This window comes from Homo sapiens, chromosome 5, assembly GCF_000001405.40.
Source record: "Homo sapiens chromosome 5, GRCh38.p14 Primary Assembly".
NCBI lineage: Eukaryota > Metazoa > Chordata > Mammalia > Primates > Hominidae > Homo > Homo sapiens.
The window spans coordinates 35031793-35055043 of NC_000005.10; the positions used below are offsets into that span (position 1 = coordinate 35031793).

The 23251-nt window shown below is 40.6% G+C and overlaps 2 protein-coding genes across 10 annotated transcripts in view; both read right to left on the bottom strand.

The window, feature by feature from the left end:
- AGXT2 (alanine--glyoxylate aminotransferase 2) overlaps positions 1–16157 on the bottom strand; it is a 49848-nt gene extending 33691 nt beyond the window's left edge. For 3 of the 6 annotated variants that reach the window (NM_001306173.2, NM_001438050.1, NM_031900.4), the window contains exons 1-7: positions 16013–16157; positions 8783–8871; positions 7532–7716; positions 5150–5273; positions 3430–3524; positions 1668–1761; positions 940–1033 (exon numbers count right to left, since the gene is read on the bottom strand). In NM_001306173.2, coding sequence (NP_001293102.1) covers positions 940–1033; positions 1668–1761; positions 3430–3524; positions 5150–5273; positions 7532–7716; positions 8783–8871; positions 16013–16100 — 769 coding nt within the window. In that variant the 5' untranslated portion in view covers positions 16101–16157. The remainder of the gene's footprint in view (positions 1–939; positions 1034–1667; positions 1762–3429; positions 3525–5149; positions 5274–7531; positions 7717–8782; positions 8872–16012) is intronic. The other 3 variants (NM_001438583.1, NM_001438585.1, NM_001438584.1) reach the window with 3 other exon arrangements.
- PRLR (prolactin receptor) overlaps positions 16964–23251 on the bottom strand; it is a 181732-nt gene continuing 175444 nt past the window's right edge. For all 4 annotated transcript variants that reach the window (NR_037910.1, NM_001204318.1, NM_001204317.1 and 1 more), the window contains one exon: positions 16964–17616. Coding sequence is in view for 3 of the 4 variants with exons in the window: in NM_001204318.1 (NP_001191247.1) it covers positions 17495–17616 (122 nt within the window). In the remaining variant the exon portion in view is untranslated. The remainder of the gene's footprint in view (positions 17617–23251) is intronic.

A 23251-nucleotide genomic window follows, 5' to 3' on the forward strand; every position in this document is an offset into this window, starting at 1 on the left:
GAACTTTTTGACTGGAGTTTTGAGATTGCCAAAAGCATTATTTTCCCTCTTTCCACTGGTATGGGTTAATAATCCCACCCATCTTGATTTCTTGTTTTTTTTTTTTTTTTGGTTGTTGTTTAGTTTTTTCATTTTAGAGATGGGATCTTGCTTTTTTTTTTTTTTTTTTTTTTTTTTTGAGATGGAGTCTTGTTCTGTTGCCCAGGTTGGAGTGCAGTGGCGTTATCTCAGTTCACTGCAACCTCTGCCTCCCAGGTTCAAGTGATTCTTGAGCCTCAGCCTCCCGAGTAGCTGGGATTATAGGTGCACACTACCATGCCTAGCTAATTTTTGTATTTTTAATAGAGACACCATTTCACCATGTTGGCCAGCTGGTCTCAAACTCCCGACCTCAGGTGATCTGCCCGCCTCAACCTCCCAAAGTGCTGGGATTATAGCTGTCAGCCACCATGCCCCGCCGGGCCTTGCTCTTTCATGCAGGCTGGAGTGCAGTGGCATAATCATGAATCACTGCAGCCTCGACTTCCTCAGCTCAAGCAATCCTCCCACCTCAGCCTCCCGAGTAACTGGGACTACAGGCATGCCACCACGCCCAGCTTGTTGTCTTTTAAAATTGACACCAGAGCTATTGCTATTATAATAGAGCTAATAGAATGCCTTGAATCAAGTACCAGCTGATAGTCGTTTTTTTGAGCTTGGCTCTGATAGCGTGAGATGCTTTTCCTACATGGCCAGACAGATGGTCTGAGAGTGAAGTGATAGCAGACATAAGCGTTGATTCAATGAGGAATAACTTGGTTACTTTCCAGTTTTGCTTCCTCTGGCTTTTCCCTTTTCCATGTTTTCAAATTCAATTGTTCCCTCAGGGATGGGTCTGCCTTTATTCGTGTCCCTTCCAACTTCCAACACTCCACTGGCACCCCCCTTGCCCAGTCGGACCTGGTGCACAGCTGCACTTCCTGATTGTTTGCACTGGAGAATCTCGACAGTGGCTTCCTCCCCAAGGGCCACGAAAAACATCTGGACACATTGTCTGCAAATGACAAAAGAAGGAGTGTGGCAAAGCATGAACACAAGACAGCCAAGTTAGGGTAGCATATGGCTGCCATCAAGACAAGAGGGCTTCTTAGTTTTCCTCCCTCATTCTTCCCCCACTTAAGATGAAAATTGAAGGATCTGCTTTGAAGAGATAATTTTTTCTTAGAAATCAGCTATGTGGGCCCTCTACAAAGGAAACTGATTTCAATGTTAGCCTGGAAACAGCTTGCTCAAGGGTGCAGTGGGTAAGGGCATCTGAAAGAATAAGAATAATTAGGTATCTGATTCAGATGCTGAAAATGTGGGTACAGTAAGTGGGAACAGAAGGTGAGTACAGTGATGACTGCATAGAAGTTTTGTGCATTCAAGATTCTCAGAGCCTTGCAGTTTACTTGATTTTATTTAAAAGCAAAATACATTTTAAAACTCTGTCATTAATTATTACTCAGACTCGGAAGGCCTTTCTAATGGTGTCCTCAAGTGGTCTCCAATTCAATTAGGTCAAATTGAGCCCCTGATTAATGACAGGCTTTATATTAGTTTCTAATCCTTATACCAGGAAAACCTGATCAACTACTTCACATACCCAGCAGTCTTTAAAGAAACAAGAGAAAAATCTCCAAACTCACTGGTTGGCAACCTGTCCCACCAGGGAGTTCCATCTTGTAGGTCCCTACGTTTGTCAAGCCAAGTGTGTAAGGACTGCATCCATGGTAGGCTCCTCTGCAGAGAAGAAACAACAGGAGGATGGGGTCAAGTTCCTGGTCCACTGAGTAGGACAAAAGAGAAAACCCAGGAAGGCTATGAAGATGAAATAGAACATCATTCGCATTCACCTCTGATTTCTAAGAACGCATCTAAGCTTATGTCGGATCAATGTACTTAATAGTCTTTTCTAACTGTTGTTAGAAAACAGATTTGAAACTGTGAAAGGAATTTTGGAGAACATTTGTCCAAGAACTCCAATCTTAGGACCTTCCCTACTCTATTATTCCATAGTAATGAGACTCATCTTTTAGCAACAACATACCAGAAATTGTATGTTCAATGAATACCAGTCTTCGAAGTAGTCGCTTTGGGAAGCCAAATATTTTTTCCTATGATATACCTGTTGTTCAATATCTTTAGGGACTTACACACCTTATAAATCACCTTATTCTCCATCTAAGAAACACAGGTTTTGTTTCTTTTGAACGTGAAACAGTCATATTTAGTATAAATGCTCCTAATCATCAGTGTAAGCTTCAAATGAGTTCGAACAATTTCCCATATCAAAATCACCTTTAAACAAGGATTTAGGACCGTTAAGACTATTCAAAAGAATGGTTGTATTAGGTTGGTGCAAAAGTAATTGTGGTTTTTGCCATTACTTTTAATGGCAGAAATCTCAATTACTTTTGCACCGACCTAATGTATCTTGAAAAAGGAGACAAAATGTGTGTTGAACCCTGGTAGTACCATGACTACTTAATACTTACCTCGACACACATATTCTGGAATGTCATTTAGGTAATACATCAATCACAATTCTTTATTGTCATATTTCTTATTCCTGTAATAACAGCATGCTCATTTGATATGGAATGTGCAGTATTGAATGTGCTGTCATAAGGATTAAATAAAATCTTCTTTTGAATTCACACAGAAATTATAACCAGACAGCTTAAAAATGCAACTGTTTATTCATTCCATCAACTTTTACCATAAGCCACTCCTGTCTTTTACATTAACTTTACAGGAGTCTGTTTAAATATGCTGTATACAATTACCCAAGGGAGGCAACTGTAAGCAAAATGCATAGTTTTCTATTATTTTTAGTGCTAATGTAGCCATTAAGGGTTTATTAATGAATCTATTATCAGTGCTCAAAAGTCACTGAAAGAAGCAGAAATATACAGGGTTATATGTTCATCCTCTGAACTTAAGGAGAATAAAAGGTAAAAAATGGGTGCAGCTGGCACTATGAAATCAGTGGACAGCTCCTTATCATAAGCAGAAATTAAAATAGGCCGGTATTTTTTGGTAGAGCCTTGATCTTCTAAGGTGGGGAACAGTCATTTACCACTTGGTATATGGTGTGGTCCCCGCCACATCTTCAAAGTTAAAAAACTGTCATGTGGGTTTCTCTTAATGTCCACAGGAGGATCTATGACATAATGAGGACTTCAAGCTGGTCGTGACCAGTTGGGGCCCCCTCTCTTGTATCAGGCCAACTTGAATGGTGTTATCCTGTCATAAAATTCAATTGACCTATCCTTCCTTAAAACTTAACAACTAGAAAAATATCCCTGAGAAAACCTCTCTCCCACTCCATGCTACAATGTAAAGCTACACATTTAGAATGGGGGTAAGTCAGTGTTCCTAAAGTTGAATATTCCAAGTTGTGATTACCTGAAAGAAATGATGTCTATGTTGTTTGAGTGCGCCCTGGCCATCAGCATGGCCAGCTCATTGGCTTCTGAGCCACTGTTCACCAAGAAAATGACCTGGAGAGGAAAGGAAGACACGTGGCCTCATAATTTATTTCCTTATTACCCATTCACTTAAAATTGCTGAAGGGCAGGTGTCCAGCCCCTGAGTATTAAGGAGAGTTCCCTTCAGACCAGCTCGGGTTACCCAGCAGTTCCATCATTTAACCACAGTATGAATTCCATAGCCCTTCCTCCAGTAGCCACTAAGTGCCAGACATACAAAAATGGCTAAGAGATTGTCTCAGCTGTGCAACATTCCTGGCTTTTAATGGCTTTATTTGATGGTCTGCAAAATGCCAAGGGAGACTTGCTGAGGGGCACGCAGTGGTGAGTAGCTGATAGATCCAAAGGTTGGGTTTCTTGGCTCCTAACTCTAACCCAGTCACCTGATTCTAAAGGCTTGGAACAAGACAGGACCTCTGACTCTGCAACTCCAGGGGTTGTCCCAGCCTGACTATGCTGTGTGTGTGAATGTTGAAAAAACAAGTAAACAAGCCGGGTGCGGTGGCTCACGCCTGTAATCCCAGCACTTTGGGAGGTTGAGGCGGGCGGATCACTTGAGGTCAGGAGTTTGAGATCAGCCTGGCCATCATGGTGAAACCCCATCTCTACTAAAGATACAAAAATTAGCCAGGTGTGGTGGTGGGCACCTGTAATCCCAGCTACTTGGGGGGCTGAGGCAGGAGAATCACTTGAACCCAGGAGGCAGAGATTGCAGTGAGCCGAGATTGCGCCATTGCACTGCAGCCTGGGTGACAGAGTGAGACTCCGTCTCAAAAAGAAAAAAAAAAGCAAGTAAACAAAAAATGCAGCTCAGCCTGGACAAAAGAATGGGGAGAATGAAAGAGAACTGTGCCCTCCAGACTCAGGGACTGGAAGGCATGTGTTCATGACTCTGCTGACTCTCTGCTTCTGCTCTTCTGTGAACATCTGGGGCTGAACTGAGGTTGCAGCTCTTCCATGTTTCTTTATCTATTCTAGGTAATGTAGAGAACATGGTAAAATAATAATAGATAACACTCGGGACTGAGCATTGTTCTAGGTTCTTCACATGTATTAACTCGTTTAATGTCTAAATGGAAATCTTGGCCAACATTTTAACATCTTAGTTCAATTTAAAAGATCAGTCATTTCAGATGCAGAAAAACAGCTCATGTAGAAAAAAATATCTAAGTGTAATTTGGACCAAATGAACCAAATGGCACTTATTAAAAATGGTTTCACTGTTTGTAAAAGAAATGCAAATAACTTTGCAGAAAGGCTAAGGAGCGATGAGATAAAAACCTCTTGAGGACATAGATGAGAACATCAAGAGGCCTACGGCTCCTGGGAAGTGATTTCTGCTAAGATATGGTGAAGAGAGCAACCAAAGAGAGGCAGAGGCTCAGAGGTGACACAAGGGAACATTGGTTTGTTTCGCCAGCAATTCATAAATTCCCTTCTTCTGTCTGATTGCTTTCAGATGTAGCTATCAGATCACCACTACAGATGTTCAGTGCACAGGCTAAATTCCCTGCCCATGTCCCTGCTTCCTAGGGACGCTCCCCTAGAATCATAAGACTCCTGTCTCTTTGAGCTGGGAGCATCATACCTTTTTTTTTCCCCCATAACATTCACCTCCTGCAGGAAGAGCATTGTACCTTAAGAGGCTCAGGAAGAAGTGCGGCAAGCTTCTCTGCATATTCATGCATTGGAGGGTGGAAGAAGACGGTGCTTGTATGCCACAGGCGGCCGAGCTGCTTTTGTGCCACTGCATTCACCTTTCTGGATAAGCAGTACAGCAGAGTTACCTGCACTGCGTGCCACGTCCCTCCTGCACACACCCTGGTCATTGGACCCAAATATACTGTTTTTTCTCAAAGAGTTTCAAGAGGCAGATTTTATTTACACATGAGAATAAACTCCTTTAACCACTAGAGGTGTCCAGAAATGGGATGTGTTGACTTAAAAGGTAATGAATTCCTCTCCAAGAGCAGGGTTCAAAAGGAGACTCATTGATTACAAGGGATTTTAGAAAAGAAATGCCTAGTTTAGGAGGAAGTTTGGGCTTAGAATTTCTTCTAGCTATGCTTTCTTATTAACCATCTTTTGAAGAGTTTGGAAAAAGAGATGACTAGTTGTAAGCCTGAGTTCTTTCCATTTTATTTTTCTAAAGAAGAAGAGATTCATCAAGCACATGTATGCCAGATCAGTAGTTCTTCCCTCCCTCCCTCCCTTCCCCCCTTCCTCCCTTCCTCCCCTCCTTCTTTCTTTCTTAAGGGATGGGTTCTCACTGTGTTGCCTAGGCTGGAGGGCAGTGGCTATTCACAGGCACAATCATAGTGCACTGCAGCCTCAATTCCTGGGCTCAAGAGATCCTCCTGTCTCAGCCTCCTGAGTAGCTGGGACTATAGGTGCATGCTACCACGTCTGACTAAGATGAACAGTTTTTCTGCAGGGAGATTCTAATATCTGAGTCTGAACAGTGGTTAGTGTGGATGAATATTTTGTAACTATAAAGCCACATTCTTTGAAAGATTGGGCCAACCTTACAGGATTAGAAGGTTCATACTGAGAGATAATAGGGGCTAAGGATGACAGATTTGTGGAACCTGACTTGGCTTTGAAAACACAAACCAAGTTGTCTGAACTTGCTGTAAAGGACATTAATTGCTACAGTTTGTTACAGGCCAATTTTATTTGCTGTTAATATCTTTCACATCAGAAAAAAATCAATTTAGTGGGTAAATATTTTGAGAAATACCAGATTATACAGATTTCTTTACTACAGACATTTTAGTACCTATAATAGACTAGTGTACGCTGTTTCTCTTCAGAAGGGAGATATAGTTTAAAGTGTTTCCCAAACTTATTTTCTCATGGGACCCTTTTCCACGGAAACTCCTGTGATCAGTGTTCCATGAAACTCACTTTAGAAAATTGTGGAGTATCAGTAAATCCTTGAAAAGAAGAGACATTTGACAAAAACATTGTTTAGCAAAATATATGAGAGTCACAGGAGGGGTAGAAAAGATGGCCTCCCATTTCCAGGGAAGACTGTCAATGTTACTGGGAAGATTCAGTGAGAATGTTTGAACTCATTTTCTATTCCATTTTCTCTACTTCTTTCATGTATGTTTGTCCTACGTTTGAAATTGCATCTGAAATTTGTTTTGGATACTTCTTGTGACTTTGCATGGGACTAAGGTCTCCTGATGATGGAAGAGGGTAGGAGAAGTGAAGGGGAGGAAAAGATGAGGGCTGGGCCCCTGAGGCACACTCACTCCTTACCTCCTGACAGCTGCCTGAGGGGGGGGACTCTTTGCCTCCTGCTTTGATGGAAGGGCCCACATCTATTCAGTTTATTTTAGACTTGCTGCTTTATTGCTTTCCCCTAACTTAGTGTGAGGTTGCATTGGTCAGATTATTAAAGAAAAGAGAGAACAGACATGAAATGAGAGCACTGCATGGAAACCAAGAACGCTCCAAGGGTATCTGTGTGGGCGAGTATACCGTCAACACTGCAGACAATCTCTAGATTAATTGATCCATACATTTCCAGGTAAATTTCCAGCTAGGATTGCATCTGTCTCTTATCATTCTTCTTTTCCTCTTCCATCTCTCAGAGGCCATGAAGAAGATTCTCTAGGCTAGAAGTTATTTCTCATCTCTCATCATCCCTCGCCTGACAAGCCTGTCATGTGTTTCTCTGAGAGCCGCCTGCCTTTCTCTTCCTTTCCCTGAATGCACCCCTCTCTTTGGAAAGCTGTTGCTAATGAGAAACACACACAGCAAGACTCCAGTCACATGGTACATGCCACACTACATGTGCCATGAGAATAACAAAATCTTGCATTGTCAAGAAAGGAAAAGTAAGGGTGTCAAGATTTTGTACTCAGGAAATAGCAGGGAGTATGTCAGCCACAATCTGTCATAGATATTTTTAAACCAAGATAAGCAAATCAAGAGTTCAGAGTCACTAACATAATTGTTTTCCATGCATTCTTTTGGAATAAAAATCTCCAGATTTTAAGGATACTCACGGGTGGCAATGGCCAACACTGACAGTAACAATCCCGGAAAAGAAATCCAGGTATCTGCTTCCTTCAGCATCAAAGAGCCACTCCATGTGCCCCTGGTGGAGCAGCAGGGGTTTCTGGAAATATGCCGTCACCACAGGAGAAAGATGTTCCTTGTGGATTTCCAGGACACGGTTGTAGCCAAGGGACTGTAGATAAACAAGATTTAAACCCACACACTTCTTACAAGATCAATAGCAGTCAATCTATGAGTAACAGAGCCCAGGCTCTCTAGTGGACAGAGAAGAGGGCTGCTGGCCTGTAGAGGCTCAGAAGTGCGTGTACTTACCCAATATCGTCCCTGCAAGAAATTAAAGCCTTTTCTCTTAAGGAGGTGAATTATTATTTGTAGCCTTTCGATCTCTTTTCAGAAAAGGGCTGGAATTTCTACCTAGCAATGAAAAGCCTTGGCTCTGAGTTGATTTTAACTATGAAAAAAATAGACTTCGGAAGTAAATGTCTGAACTAATAAGCAATTAGTCTGAACTAATAAGTCATTTTTGTTGTGGTAGTGTTTTAAAAAATTAAAATACAATGAAGTGCTAGTCGTGTTTGTATCTTTATTTATAAAATATCTCTCCTGTATTTCTCTTCTTTGTGGATCCCTCATAAATACCTATTGATTCTACAATTTCTAACCTGTAAGTATCATGTCGAATAAAGGAGTTGCCGTGTGTGTGTGCATGCACGTGTGCATGCATAACAGAGAGAGAGAGAGAGAGAGGGAGAAAGAAAGAGAGAGAAAGAAAGAAAGAGAGAGAAAGTAAGAGAGAAAATGCCAGCTGAATTTTTATTAGCCTGAGAACAAAAATATAACTATAATTTTTGCTGGAGTACCCAGGAAGGTCAGATGGCCACATGAGTCAGTTAAAACAGGAGCAACATTTACTTTAAAGCCTATGTGTGCCATCACATTTGTGATGTGTGTATATCTCCCTGCAGTACATATATTAATTATCATGTGTAGTGTGCTTCTTGTACTTTCTTTGCCTCTGTCTGTGTCTCTATCTCTCACACATGGACACCAATTTATACACTAGCATTAAGGGATTAAGAGGGTTTCAGATGCTTCCAATGACTTAGAGGTACAATATCTGGAATGAGGTAGTTTAGTGGCAAGCAGGGCTATTTTTGTGTCATTCTTAAGGAAACAATCATTTGAGACCTCCCCAGAGAAACTACCTCTTTGAGTTTTCTTAAAGCCCTGAATCTCACCTGGTATCTTTCAGGCATGAAGTCACATGGAGGCATTCTGGGCTTTGTATGAAGACTGAGCTTGGTTACTGATGTCCGGGAAGTACCTACTGAAAGTGAAGTGAGTTAGAATCCTCAACTAAGCATGACATAGGTCTGTTTGTGAAAGTCACCTATAGTTATCCAAATAAAACTGCTTAGATAATTTTATTTCTTAGTTAAAAAATCATGCTAATCAGCTTTTAGTTTGGATTTAAAATCTGAGTATCTCAATAATGAGTTTTCTGGAGGAAAAAAATAGTTCTTCTCAAATATAGTCTGGAAAAAAAATCTACGGCAGTCCCTCACAAACTTGGGAGGCTCAGTTTAGGCAAACTCTCCATGTTACCCTCACCGTGTCGATTCTCTCATCAGTAGGCAAAACTTCTGCTAGTGCAATGCGTTGTTGGAGTCCATCCCCTGTTAATAGAGGTGCTTTTTAGGCTTCAAGCTGCCTAGTGCCTGAATTCTAGTGTGTAGCCAGTGCCTGGTACCTGGTTAGCTCTCAATACACACGGCATTAATGACTGTTGACTATTCTTGTAGGGAATGAGGAGAGGCAGGTGTTAGACAATATACTAGACTAATAAATACATGCAAATAGACCCAGAAGACAAAACCTCCCCCCGCCAAAAAAAAAAAAAAAAAAAGGCTGCCAACATAAGACTGTGATGAAACAGGGATAAGCTGAACCAGATTCATTAAATATTTGGAGCTAGGAGGGACCTTACATTTGTGTGTGTGTGTGTGTCAAAATGCATACTTTATAGATAAGGAAACCAGCGTAAAGTGGTAAATTAATCTGTTTAAGGTTATCAAGCTAGTTAGGTGAAGAACGGGAACAAAACTCCTCTGACTCCTAGCCCAGTAGTCTGTTTTGCTCATTCCTCAACCATTTCCACCCTTCCCTGCCAGCACAGACTTTGGCCCCCCTGCAGCAGTGGGATGGAATAATGGAATCAGAACGTCAGAGCTGGAAGAGTTGTCTAGAGACCTTATAAGTACTCCTAGGAAAGATGCTCCTAATTTTGAAGACTGAAGGTCAACATTAAGATAATTTTATAGGTGGAGAGAGCTAAGGAAATTATGTCTCTTTCTCAGCATGAAGGTTTGAATGCATGAAAGAAGTGTTAGTGCTTTGTGTGGCTATGAAGTCACAGTCCTGAGAAACATAATGAACAATTGTGTTTTTAAATGAAGATGGAAAGTAACAGTTCTGAATATATCTTCTTTCAAAGAGATATATTCAAAGAGATATATATTTCAAAGAGATATATAATCACTAATGTCATTAATTTGCTTTTACTTGAAAAGCAAGTGACTTTTGGTTATCCATGCATAGAAAGGACCAAAAAAATTGATAGCTTTAGTTTTCTGAGAATTTCACCTTTTAAAAAGCTTTTCATTGTGTCTCTCTGCATTCGTTGTGCTTCTGAGATGGAAAAAAAATTCTGAGTGTCTCTAAGAATTCAAAAATCCTTTCGTTTCTTCAGTCTCATTTTTCTATCTGCAAAATTGGAGTTGCCCATTGAGGAGGTTGTAAGCTGTCTTGACTCCAAGGTTATAGGATTTATGAAAGTAGGCTGGAGGGGGAAGGGAGTTGGAGAGAAATACTTGACAAAGAAAAGCTTGAATTTTAAACAGTCAAGGCAGTTTTATTCATTCATTTATTCACAAAAGTCATAAGCACATGATGGTGGAGTGAGGGCTTCAAATGAAATACGTGAAATTCTGCAAGGAAGAAAGAAGAGGAAGAAAGGAAAGAAGGAGGAAAGAAAGAAGAAAGAGGAAGGAAGAAATAGAGACAGTAATGAGCAAGTAGGAGAAAGAATAATAGGAGTCAGTAAGTGAAATAAACCTGGATAATACCTCCAAATCTATTGACTGTCATATCACTCCTCTTAATAAATAACTAAAACTCAAAAATAATAGTAATAATGTTGATATTTGATGGACAGAAAGAAACAAAACTACTTTGGTTTTTATTATTTGCCAGAAAAAAAATGAAAATCTATCTAGATAATTGCATGCAATTTTTATTCAAAATAGCCTGTGTTTTGAGGATGATGTAAGAGTTGAGGGTTCATAAAGCTTTTTTGGGGGCTCCTGGAAAGTGTGTATGTGTATATATGCATATGCATACCTGTGTGTGTGTGTGTGTGTGTGTGTGTGTGTGTGTGTAAGAGATGGAGGTGGAGGGGAAGGAATGAATGAGATTAGGATTAATAAAACTATATCCAAGGTCTATTTCTGAATAGGTATTTGTTTTGTTTTGTCTTATTGTTTTAACTAATCGGATAGTGCCTTTTTAGGCTAACCAGACGACAGCTAATGATTTTCATCCAATTCACCAGTTTTCACTTCAATTCACATGAGCAACTTGAGACATTGAAAGATGGAATTCAATTTGGAGAACAGCATCGCTTTTGCATAATAAATGCCAAGTGGGTAACTAGTGAGCTTTCATTTCCAAGCTGCCTAATTCTCACAGAGTTCTATAGCAGACAGTTCACTGCAACTTTATTTTCTTTCCCCAAAATCATAATATCGAATGACAAAAACTGTTGGGCAAAGTAAATGAGAAAAATCAAATTTTTTTGGCATTTGGAAACTCTAGGGAAAATTCTCTTTGTAATGATAACGAGTTTTTCAGTATTCACAACCAGTTTTCAGCCCAGAGGGAGTATTTATTAAGGGCTTCCTCACCCTTTAAAATGAAAAAAAGATTCTAAAATATTTGAAAATATGCAGTGGACACAGTGTGATTTATTAAAATGCTAATTATTATTATTACTGAGACAGGTCTGGCTCTGTTGCCCAATGCTCATATAATGTGTGAAAATAATGACATGCTATCTCAGCTGCAATAATTTTAAAAATCAAAGAAAAGCTTTCAAAATAAATTATGGCTTTAATTTACAGATGCCCAGGGATGATTTCTTTCTTTTTTTCTTTTTTGAGACAGGATCTCCTTCTGTCACCCAGGCTGGAGTACAGTGGTGTGAGCATGGCTTACTGTAGCCTCGGCCTCCCAGGCTCAAACAATTCTCCCACCTCAGCCTCTTGAGTAGCTGGAACCATAGGCACCAGCCACCATGCCCAGCTATTTTTCTTTTCCTACTTTTAATAGACATGGGGTCTTACATGGAGTGCAGTGGTGGAATCTCTGCTCATTGCAACCTCTACCTCTCAGGCTCAAGCGATCCTTCTATCTCAGCCTCCTTAGTAGCTGGGACCATAGGGGCATGCCACCACACCCGGCTAGTGTTTTGTATTTTTAGTAGAGATCGGGTTTCTCCAGATTGCCCAGGCTGATCTCAAACTTGTGAGATCAAGCCATCTGTCTGCCTTGGCCTCTGGAAGTGTTGTGATTACAGGCGTGAACCACTAAGCCTGGCCCAAAATGCCAATTGTATCTCATTTCTGTATAGCATCTTAGGTAACTTGAAAAAAACCTTGTCACATTTGCAATCTCATTTGATACTTGGGATTGCCAACGAGTTAGGAAAGGAAGATTTCATCCTCCATCCACCTTAGAGGACATCAGTGACAGATGGAATTCGAGGCCTTGGCAGTTTTGAAGTCCCTCACTGATATTGACGTTTGAGACACTGCCTCCCATGGAGGCCTGCTGAAGCTGTGTTGGGGTTTGGACGCCTGAGGGACAGTGTCTGGTCGGTAGAGAAATTTTTCTCCTCTGCTTCTCTGTGCTGGAGCTGCCAGCTTGGAGACTCCAGAGTGGTCGTTTTCTCTTCACACATGGGGCCGCAGTCTGCAGCACGCTGCTGAGGACCCTCACCATTGCTGTTCGGTATCATCCGCTCCGGACATGATCTCTCACAGCCTTCTCTGTGGAGGTCCCCTCTGTCCCATGCGTGCTCTGGGTGCAAGGATGATGGCAGTGAATGCCAGGTGCCTGCATCCGCTAAGCAAAGCTGCTAAGAGGCGGTTCCTACCAGAAGTTACTCTACTCCTGCCTGGCCTTCCTTGGCTTCTTTGCGTGTGGGGTCCTGTCCACGTCCTCAGCCTCCTGTTGATTATTTCAGCTGCCCTCCCTCCTTCCCTCCATTCCTTCATAACCTTCCAGTATATGCCCTTTTGCTGAAGCCACACAGGGGCAGTTGTGGCTGTCCACAAGCAAGAGCACTCCTCGATTCCTGATTCTGAGGTGGGTGGGTCTTCTTCCGCACGTTCGGGAGTAGGCATTCTCTGTGATCACCCTTCCTGGCCCTTGGCATGTGTTAAATCAGTTCTGACTGTGGCAAGGCTGCCTGGAGGGGTGTAGATGGGAGGCCCCCCTTTAGGGCAAATTTTAAATGTTTTCTTAAAATAGGCTTGGCAGGAATGGAGAAACATCTCAGCTGGAAATAGATGACTTTTTGTGCCCTCCTTCCTTTGTGGGAGAGCAGGCATATATTAGGAAATTGGTACATGGGAGCACATACCCCAGCCACCTGCAAATGTTATATATTTCAGTCATTAGCTAATTGTAGGAAAGAATGCCCCACTGAGATATTTCTCCACACTTTTGTACTGAAAACAAATTGCTTCCATAACTTTGTATACACAGTTAGCCCAAAGTGATTGTGCATATCAAAGTGTAAACAAAGCTGAACATTTTATGCATATGAATATTGTACAGTAACTATGTAGATACTATACAAGAATTGTGACTTATTTATTTTTGCATATAAAACAACACTTAAAACGTGGTGACCTCCCTATCACAGCCCCTCCCCTCACCCCCATTATATTTTTCTATTCCCTTTCCAGATTTGGTTTTATTCATGGCATGTGTCTCTATTGGATACATACATAAATACATACATATTCACACACATATATATTTTTACATATTTACTTATTCATTTATGTCTATCTCCTTCCTGGAATAGAGGGCAGGAGCTTTTTCTTGCTTATTGTGGCTAAGTCTGCAGCACTGGTGCATAATAGATGCTCAAATATTTTGCCTGAATGTATATATTGCACATGGCAGGTGCTCAATAAATGTATGTTAGTGAGTGTGTGTTTGGATGAGCAAGCACAAACAGGCACAGACCTAGGTAGAGTAGGTAAGAAAGTAGACATAAAAGTCCCAAAGGTTTTTGCAAGGCCAGGTGATGAGGATAGCATTCAGTCTAGGTAGTGTGGTTTTTTTCTTTTTCTTTTTTCTTTTTTTTTTTTTTTTTTTTTGAGAAGGAGTCTCACTCTGTCGCCCAGGCTGGAGTGCAGTGGCGCAATCTCCGCTCACTGCAAGCTCCGACTCCCGGGTTCAAGCCATTCTCCTGCCTCAGCCTCCTGAGTAGCTGGAACTACAGGCGTTCGCCACCATGCCCGACTAATTTTTTGTACTTTTAGTACAGACAGGGTTTCCCCGTGTTAGCCAGGATGGTCTCGATCTCCTGACCTCGTGATCCGCCCGCCTCAGCCTCACAAAGTGCTGGGATTAGAGGTGTGAGCCACCGCACCCGGCCAGTGGTGTGGTTTTCCAAGACTGCTTCCCTGTAGTGTCCTTGCTGGGCCTATGGTAAGGCGTCGCCAACGAGTTGCTCAAGATCTCTAGGTACTAGGCCTCACCTGCCCTCTCTAGGTTACCTGCTGCTCCACTGTGCAACTCCACAATGTTCAGAGGTTGGGGTAGGGAAGGGGAGGGGGCAGTCTAGGGCATTTCTCTTGCTAGGTCAACAGCTGGTACTTTCAGCATAATTTCCTCCTCACTGAGCATAAGACTGGTTATAATTTTACCTGCTTCTGAGAAAATGTTGGAGTTAGGTGATGTTCTGGCAAAAGAAACTCATGACCAAGGGAAAAGAGCAGTCCAAACAGGATTGGAAGACTAGGGGAGGATAGACAGGGCCTGGTAGAATCTCTTCGAGTTCGGAGTCAGATAGACCTGGCTTTGAATCCCAAGTTATCACATACATGTTTCTGCCTTTGACCACATTTCTTAGATATTCCTTATTCTCTTGTCTCCTCATTTGTGGAATGAGATAATAGTACTCACTAACAAGTTTGGTTGAAGATAAAAGGAGATAATGCATTTAAAGCATCATGCATGTGTCAAGTTTCAAAAAACTGCAATTTTCAGGGGTAAGAAAGCGAAGAGGAGAGGAAGGAAGGAGGGTGAAAGGGAAATATGAGGAGAAAATGAAGGCAAAGTTGGTCACAATGGGGAATGTAAAATGGTCCCCTGTACCTGTTTACGGCCCGTGAAGCACAGGCACATAAATGTACAGACAGTTGCTTAATCTCATGTTTGCATGAGGGAATTTGCTGAGGAGGAGGTGAGGCTCTCGTGAAACAAGATCCATGTGAAAATCACAAGCATATAGGATATTACTCATAAAGCCACCAATGTCTGGTTACCCCACATCTCCTCATATTTTCTGTTCTTGCTGCAGAGAGGAGAGTCTGAGTAGATGGGGAGGGCCTGGGGTCAAGCCCTGGCTTGGATGACTCTGGGTGAATCACAGCACTTGTTGGCAATTGAGAGCGTGGTCTCACTTCCTAGAGGCATGATGAAAATTCATGCAGATGCTTTACATCTTTTAAAATAGTCATCCTAGCCTGGTGCAATGGCTTAGGCCTGCAATCCGAGCACTTTGAAAGACTGAAGTGAGAGGATTGCTTGAGCCCGGGAGTTCGAGACCAACTTGAGCAACATAGTAAAACCCCATGTCTACAAAAGTTAAAAAAGAAAAATAGCTAGGCATGGTGGCATGTGCCTATAGTTCCAGCTACTCAGGAGGCTGAGGTGGGAGAATTATTTGAGCCTTGGAGGTCAAGGCTGCAGTGAACCATGATCACACCACTGTACTCCAACCTAGGTGACAGAGGGAGACCCTGTCTCAAAAAAGAAAAAATAGAAATCATCCTTGGGCATCTGTAAATTGAAGTCACACTCTATTTTGATTGCTTTCCTTTGGTTTTTAAAAATATTGAAGCTGAGATAGCATGTCATGTTGAAATTGTGTATAGTCGGGTTTCATTATCCACGAATTTCATTTCAAAACAAAAAGGAGCATTACAAAATATTGGCTATGAAAATGGGGCATTGACTCAGGGTGAGAACCTGTGTGTCAAAAACATGCCTCATCTCTAAGACCTCACCCAGGTCTAACATTCCAGAATCCCAGGCAGCAGCCTTCGGAGCTCAAGTCTTACCCTCTCGCTGATCCTCTACTGACCCACGTCCCCCTGGTTTCCACTTACGGCTCAGGAAAGGATGCATCTCAAGGATCCTGGGAGCGGAAGTGACCAGGCACAAGGGTCTCAGCAAATGTCTCCAGATTAGAGTCATTTCTCCCACTCAGAAAGCCAACCCCCATGGAAGCAGATTGGAGGCCGGGCTCTAACTGCTCACTATCCTGCTGGACTTTGAGATTAAGATGGGGAGGAGGCGCTAAAAGGGGAATCCTGGAGTGGTGACTGCCCATGGCTTCAGGCAAGCCCCAGAGCTCTCTATTTCTAGTAACAGTGCCTTCAAGGGGGAGAAAAAGAGAGTGAGGAAAAGAGATAGAATGAAAATAGGAAGGAGAGAGAGAAGAGGAGAGAAAAGAAAGGAAAAGAAGAGAACAGAAGGGAAGAGGAAAGAAAGCAGGCAGATAAAGCAAAGGTCATCTGACAAGTTCTGTTAGTTTAATATTCCATCGGAGTTTCATCCGGGTACACTTTTCTCTGCAGGAGGGTGGTGCTGGGTGTGGGAGAAGGATCAGGACATGGTTGAAGGGGTCGGAGATTGTGAAACGAGGTATGTGACTAAGAGAGGAAAAAGGAAGATATGCATGAAGTGAATGAACAAATAAATTGGTTTTGGGGGTCTTAGAGAAAGAGAGGAGAAAACAATGGGGAAGGAGCCATTCCAAAGAAAAGCTGAGAGTACCAAATAGCTAGGTAAGGTTCTGGACAGCTGTGGATCATCTTATGTGTCTGAGGAAGGCAAAAGGTTGAGAGCTAAGGAGTTAGTGTGCCTTATTTTCATTATTTCTTAAATTCCTATTTATCCCACTCCAGCCTCCCCTTACCTTCAATCCCCATAAGCAAGTATTTAGCATGCTTATATATATCCTTTTGTTGGAACGCATTCTTGTAAAATGTGTATTGTTTAGGGTGAATGCAGTTTTAATTTATGTAAATATGTGTAATATGTCTTTTTTCTTTTCAGTTAGAACCATGTTTTTAAGATCCAACCAGGTTGCGAAGAGTACATCTCTTCTAGGTTTCCCACTGCTTCAGAATGGGGGACCACGTGCTTTACATGGCAGTGCCTAAGGGGGACAGTGACAAAGCTGATTGCAACTAGGGGGTCGAGGGACTGGGGATGGGTAGATATCATTAATCTTGGGTCACCCTGTAAGGGAGACAACTGACTTGGCCACATCCTTCACAAACACCTGCATAACAACCTTTTACTCCAAATGCCCATAGGAGGTGAAGGCACTAGGTAAGCAGAGGGAGTATGTTACATTCAATATAATTGTCCCTTTTTGTGTGGGTTTCCAGCTCCCAGTCAATTCTGCTTTGGGGGCAGTAGGGAGTGATCATATGAGCTGGCTGGTCACGTGCTGCAGGAGTAATCCAAGTCAGTGAGGCCAGTGGACACACAGCATCTCCCTGGGGTGCACAGTCTGTCCTGTGGTTGGACAGAGGGGAGAAAATGTTGAGTTCCTGAATTCTGGTATATGCTCTTCAGCTCTACTGGACTGTGGTCAATGTTGCCTTTGTGAACACCGCAAGTCTTCCTTGACTTGAGATTTTTCTTGGTCTGTAAGATTTGAGATTTTTGTAATGAGAGGCACCCAACATCAAGGGGTCACCTGGAGTGGGGAAGAAAAACAGTACATTCTGAATAACTTCTAGAGGGAAAGTGGGAGGTTATACCTCTTTTATTTAAAAAGAAAATAAATTATTCGGATTACCATAACATAATATGTACTTCTGTTAAACAAACTCAAGCCTAGAATTGCATAAAGAAGAAAGAAAAAGATCACAACAAACCTGACCATTATATTTCAGTAAATTTCCTTTCAGAAATCTTTCTCTACATGTGTCTATCTGTGTATACACATGCTGTTTCAGAAACTGAAAGTCTTCATATTTTTTGTTTAATAAGTTCCTTTTGATGGATAGCTGTATTTTCTCTAGCATCCTAGGACAGAGAATTTTCTGTACTTGACTAATTATTTTTTTCTTCAGATAAGTTCCTTGAAGAAGGATTCCTAGGTCAAAATGTGTGTACATTTTAAATGCATCTCAGTAAGATGACATCAATTTATAATTCAACTAAACTAACATTGCACGAAACTACATTCTTTTTTTTTTTTTTTTTTTTTGAGACAGAGTTTCGCACTTGTTGCCCAGGCTGGAGTGCAATGGCATGATCTTGGCTCACCGCAACCTCCGCCTCCCAGGTTCAAGCAATTCTCCTGCCTCAGCCTCCCAAGTAGCTGGGATTACAGCTACTCCATGCCCAGCTAATTTTGTATTTTTAATAGAGACGGGGTTTCTCCATGTTGAGGCTGGTCTCGAACTCCTGACCTCAGGTGATCCGCCCGCCTTGGCCTCCCAAAGTGCTGGGATTACAGGCATGAGCCACTGCGCCCGGCCGGACAAAACTATATTCTAAGATGTTTGTTCTTTTGAACTCTGAGGAATTACGTGATGTCCACAAAATCTGAAAACTGGGATGAAGAGGAAACTTAGACTGCCTCTAGAACTTCATTCTCAGCCTAGGAGTCATTTGGAATATCAATCCAAGATCCTACCCTACCTTCACAGATAAAACTCCAATTAAACAGATATTATTTCTGACTTATAAGTGACACCTGCTGAGTCTCTCTTCTCTCTCCTTTGAGCAGATCAGGTATAATATTCTCCATTTTACATAAGACTAGAGAAGATGAAGAACTATCTCAGTTTGCACAAATGGTAAATAGCAGGGGAGAAGCCTTTCATCAAGTAGGAAAATATAGAAATTTCTCCTTGAAAAAAATACTTCACAAATGGGGAAACTTGGAAATTCTGTTGTCATGTTAGTAATTATCGGGGAGGATTTTTGCACACAGGTTCACCAGTGATTTATCAGTTAAGTCCTGAGTGTAACTGAACTTTGCTCTGCCCCAGGCCTCTGTCAATAATAGAGTCCAGTAAGGCTCTGAAGATAATTAACAGCTTTTCCAAAGTAATTCTTTCCCTCTCTTAACTAATTTAGGAGTTGTGAAATTGAAGGAAAGGAAAATTGTTTTGGAAGGATTTCAGATAAATTTATACAATTTACATGAAACTTCATATTACAGGTGTTCCATTTCACAGTTAATGGATTATGAAGAATGCTGTGTGCAGAGTGTTCAGACTGAGGTGCAGAGATTAGCAGATGTGTAAGAAGAGAATAACTGCTTAAAGATGCGGCTCAGATACTGTAACCCTTAGAATTTCATGGAAAACTGATTTTCTTGAAAAATAATGCAAGGTCAAAGTCCTTTTGTTTATTTATTAGGACTCTTTGAACATGTCTCATCGGAATTATTGGACTTACCGTGTTTTAGGAAGTAACATTCTGGAGAAAGCTAGGGACACATGGATTACCTTAGCCTTCCCACTAGACTGTAATCCCCAAGAGGCTGGAGAGCACATCCGTACTGCTAACTGCATACCTGGCACAGTGCCTGGCATACAGTGTTCAAGTATTATTCAATAATGTATGTGGTAGAATGATTGACAGATAATTTATGTGGGGAAGATTTGTGTTTAAATGGGAGATCCTGAAAATACAACTCAATCTCTTTTTGGTAAAATGTATGGCAAAATCTTTTTGAGCATAGGCCCTTCTCTCAGCAGTTGGGATTTTCTAGTTGTTCATTCTCTTGAACTTTACAATCAAGGCTTAATTATTGTTTTCAATCACAGTGAGATGAGAATCCTTAGAGTCTGGTTCACTATGACTGGGATTGTTCCTGTATGGGGGAAGAGCTATTCCCAAGCTTAGGGCTCTCAGTTACAGTGAATTATCTCACAAGGATCTTTAATTACAAGGACCTTTAATTATATCCTGTTACTATAGTGATTATTACAGAATTGGCTGATTTAAATAATTCAAATTGCAAAAGAAAAATGAAGGAAGGGTGCATCAAATGAGAAGGAGAGAACTGTTTAGCCACCAAAAGGAAAATATTCTCAACCAGAAGAAAACAAAATCTAGCTTATGCTGTTTTTAAAAGACACACCTAAAACATAATGACACAGAACAATTAGGAAGTAAAGGAATGAAAAGAAACTTACCAGAGAATTACCACTCCCAGGAAAATCCAAATTAGCAATATCAGTATCAGAAAAAATAGGTTTTAAGACAAACGTGACCATTATAAATAAAGGGGATTGTATGTAACAATGAAAAGAATAATTTATTTGGAGGATTGAACATTTAAATCTATATACGCCCAATAATACAGCTTCAAAATATATAAAGCAAAAACTGATAGAATTATAATAAATAGAAACTTACTTAATCCTAGAAGATTTTAACTTACTTATAAATCACCTCCAAAAACGATATCTTAAGCAGCAAAAAAGATGAACCTCATTAATGCAAAAATCCTAAATAAAAGTTTAGCAAATTGAACCTAATAATGTTTGCAAAAATACTTCATGTATAAGTGAGGTTCATCTCAAGAATGCAAGGGTACTTTAACCTTAAAATATACTCTCTAAAATAATTTTCTGTAATAAGTTACACATTAATTAACAGAGAAAAGCCATGTGAACATATCAATAGATGTAGAAAAAAATTTGAGAAGTTTTAAAATCAGTTAAGATAAAAAATTGTTAGCAAACTAGAAATATAAAGGCATATCTTTCACATAACTAAGGGTATCTGAAAAATTGTAGGGGCCCAGCAGCAGTTCTCTTTGACCTGCTGCCCTCCTGTCTGGTCCCTCATTCTCTCCAGAGCCTGGCCATAGAAACTGGAATCTCACTTCCCCAAGGCAGGTCATGGAAACTGGAACCCTCTTGCCCCAAAGTCAGCTTTACAGTCTAAAAATATTACTATAACTTTACACCAGACTTTCTGTGTAAAAACTGACTGTAGATAACCTGACCTATCTTGTTTGACTGTAGGTCATAAGACCCCCTTTCCAGAGAGGGTCCTGCCCCATACCCAGAAGGAAGGAATGGTGAGAGGCATTCCTACACAGAGAGGCTAAGAAAAATCTAGACAGACAGGCCTTGCTAGGTTTTCTCACTCAGTCTGTCGGCATTAGGTCCAATCATTTTCCTACAAGGCTGTCCGTACTTTGTTGAAACTAAGCATAAAAATGGACAGTTTCCTCTGTATCTTTGGGTCTTCATTCTGAAGGCTCCCATGTCACATAAAACTATAATCAAATAAATTTGTATGCCTTTTCTCCTATTAATTCAACTTTTGTCAGTGACTTTTAGTGAACCCTCGGAGGGCAAAATGGCAGCTTTCCTTTCCCCTCTACAACACCTACATGATGCCTTATATGTAATAGTGAACTTTTCATAGCATTCTCACTAAAGTCAGGAAGAAGAAAGGATGCCCATAACACGTTTCTATTTAACACTGTCCTGGAAGCCCAATAAAATAGATCAAGAAAGAGACATAAGAGGTATAAAGACTGGAAAAGAAGAAACAGTGTTGTTAGCTTGTGGTGATACCGTTGTAAAAATTGAAAATCCAAGAAAACCTACAAATTATAAGAATGTTAATTAGAGTTCAGTAAGGTTACAGAATGCAAGATCAGTATTAAAACATCAGTGGGACTGGGCATGGTGGCTCACGCCTGTAATCTCAGCACTTTGGGAGGCCGAGGCCGGCGGATCACCTGAGGTCAGGAATTTGAGACCAACCTGCACAACATGGCAAAACCTCGTCTCTACTAAAAATGCCAAAATTAGCTGGGTGTGGTGGTGTGGGCCTGTAATCCTAGCTACTCGGGAGGCTGAGGCAGGAGAATCACTTAAACACGGGAGGTGGAGGTTGTAATGAGAGGGTACCTAGGGATGAATCTAATAAAACATATGCAAACATTTATAAAGAATAATGTAAAGTTTTATTGAAGCCCAATGTAAAGGAAATGATATACCATGTTCAAGATTAGGAGGCACAATATTATAAAGATGTAACTTCTGGCATTAAAACATAAATTCAATCTAGCTCCCAACACAATTTTTTAGGAGACCCGATAGGCTCATCTGAAAATTCATATGATGAGTAAATGGCCAAGAATGGCCACAACAATTTTGAAGAAGGGTATGGTGGTGTGAGAATTAATATACCAGATAACAAGACTTTGTATAAAATATGGTAATAAAACAGTGGAGCACCAGGACAGGAATAGATACACAGAAAAATGGGCCAGAAAAGCCTGGACTAACATTTGGGCATATGTAGACACTCAGAAGATGACAAAGATGGCATAAAAGATAAGCAGGAAAAGGATGAGTTACTCAGATACAAATGGATTCATCAGGGAAATAAAAAGTAAAATAACAATGCATCATTTTATGCTCATTGAATTGTCAAACATTAAAATATCTGACTGCATCAGGTAGTGATAAAGATGACGAGAAATGGAAATACTACACTGATGGCAAGGGTACACATCAGTAAAACTGCTTTGGAGAGGAAGCAATTTGTCAGCATCTAGGAAATATTAAGATATGCATTTTACATGACCCAACAATTCCACCTCTAGGTGTATATTTTGGAGAAACTTTTGCACATATTCCAGTGAGACTGGCATAGGAATGCTCATTGCATAGTCATTTATGGCAGTGAAAATCAAATGTTGCTAAATAGGGGGATTAATAAATAGTATATATGTGTAAAATTATAGCAGTGGTATACACACAACTTTTGTCATTTATGGCAATGAAAATTAAATGCTGATAAATAGGGAGATTAATAAATTATATGTATATGTACAATTACAGCAGCTATATGCATAAAGCAGTGAAAATTAGATGTAGATAAATAGGGAGATTAATAAACTGTATATGTGTATACAACCACAGCAGTTGTATGCATAAAGCAGTGAAAATTAAATGTTGATGAATAGGGAGTTTAATAGATTGTATAGATGTATAAAACTAAGCAGCTGGAGCTATTTGTATCTCAAAAACCCAATGCCGAATGAAAGAAAATCAAAGTGCATAAAGATATCTGCTATTTTTTATGCAAAACTCATAAATACCAAAGTAATTGGTCATATTATTTAGGGATAGATAAATATGAGGTGAATGCATTTTAAAAATAGCTGGGAAGGATATGTAATAACTTTAGGATTGTAGTTACTGCTGAAGAGAGAGGTAGAGAATTTGGTTGTTGAGGGATGTAAATACAGCATCTGTGATATTAAATGAATCTTTGTTAAAGAAAGGAACAGACAAGGCAAAATATGAATATTTAAAGATTTGGATGTGGGTAAATGA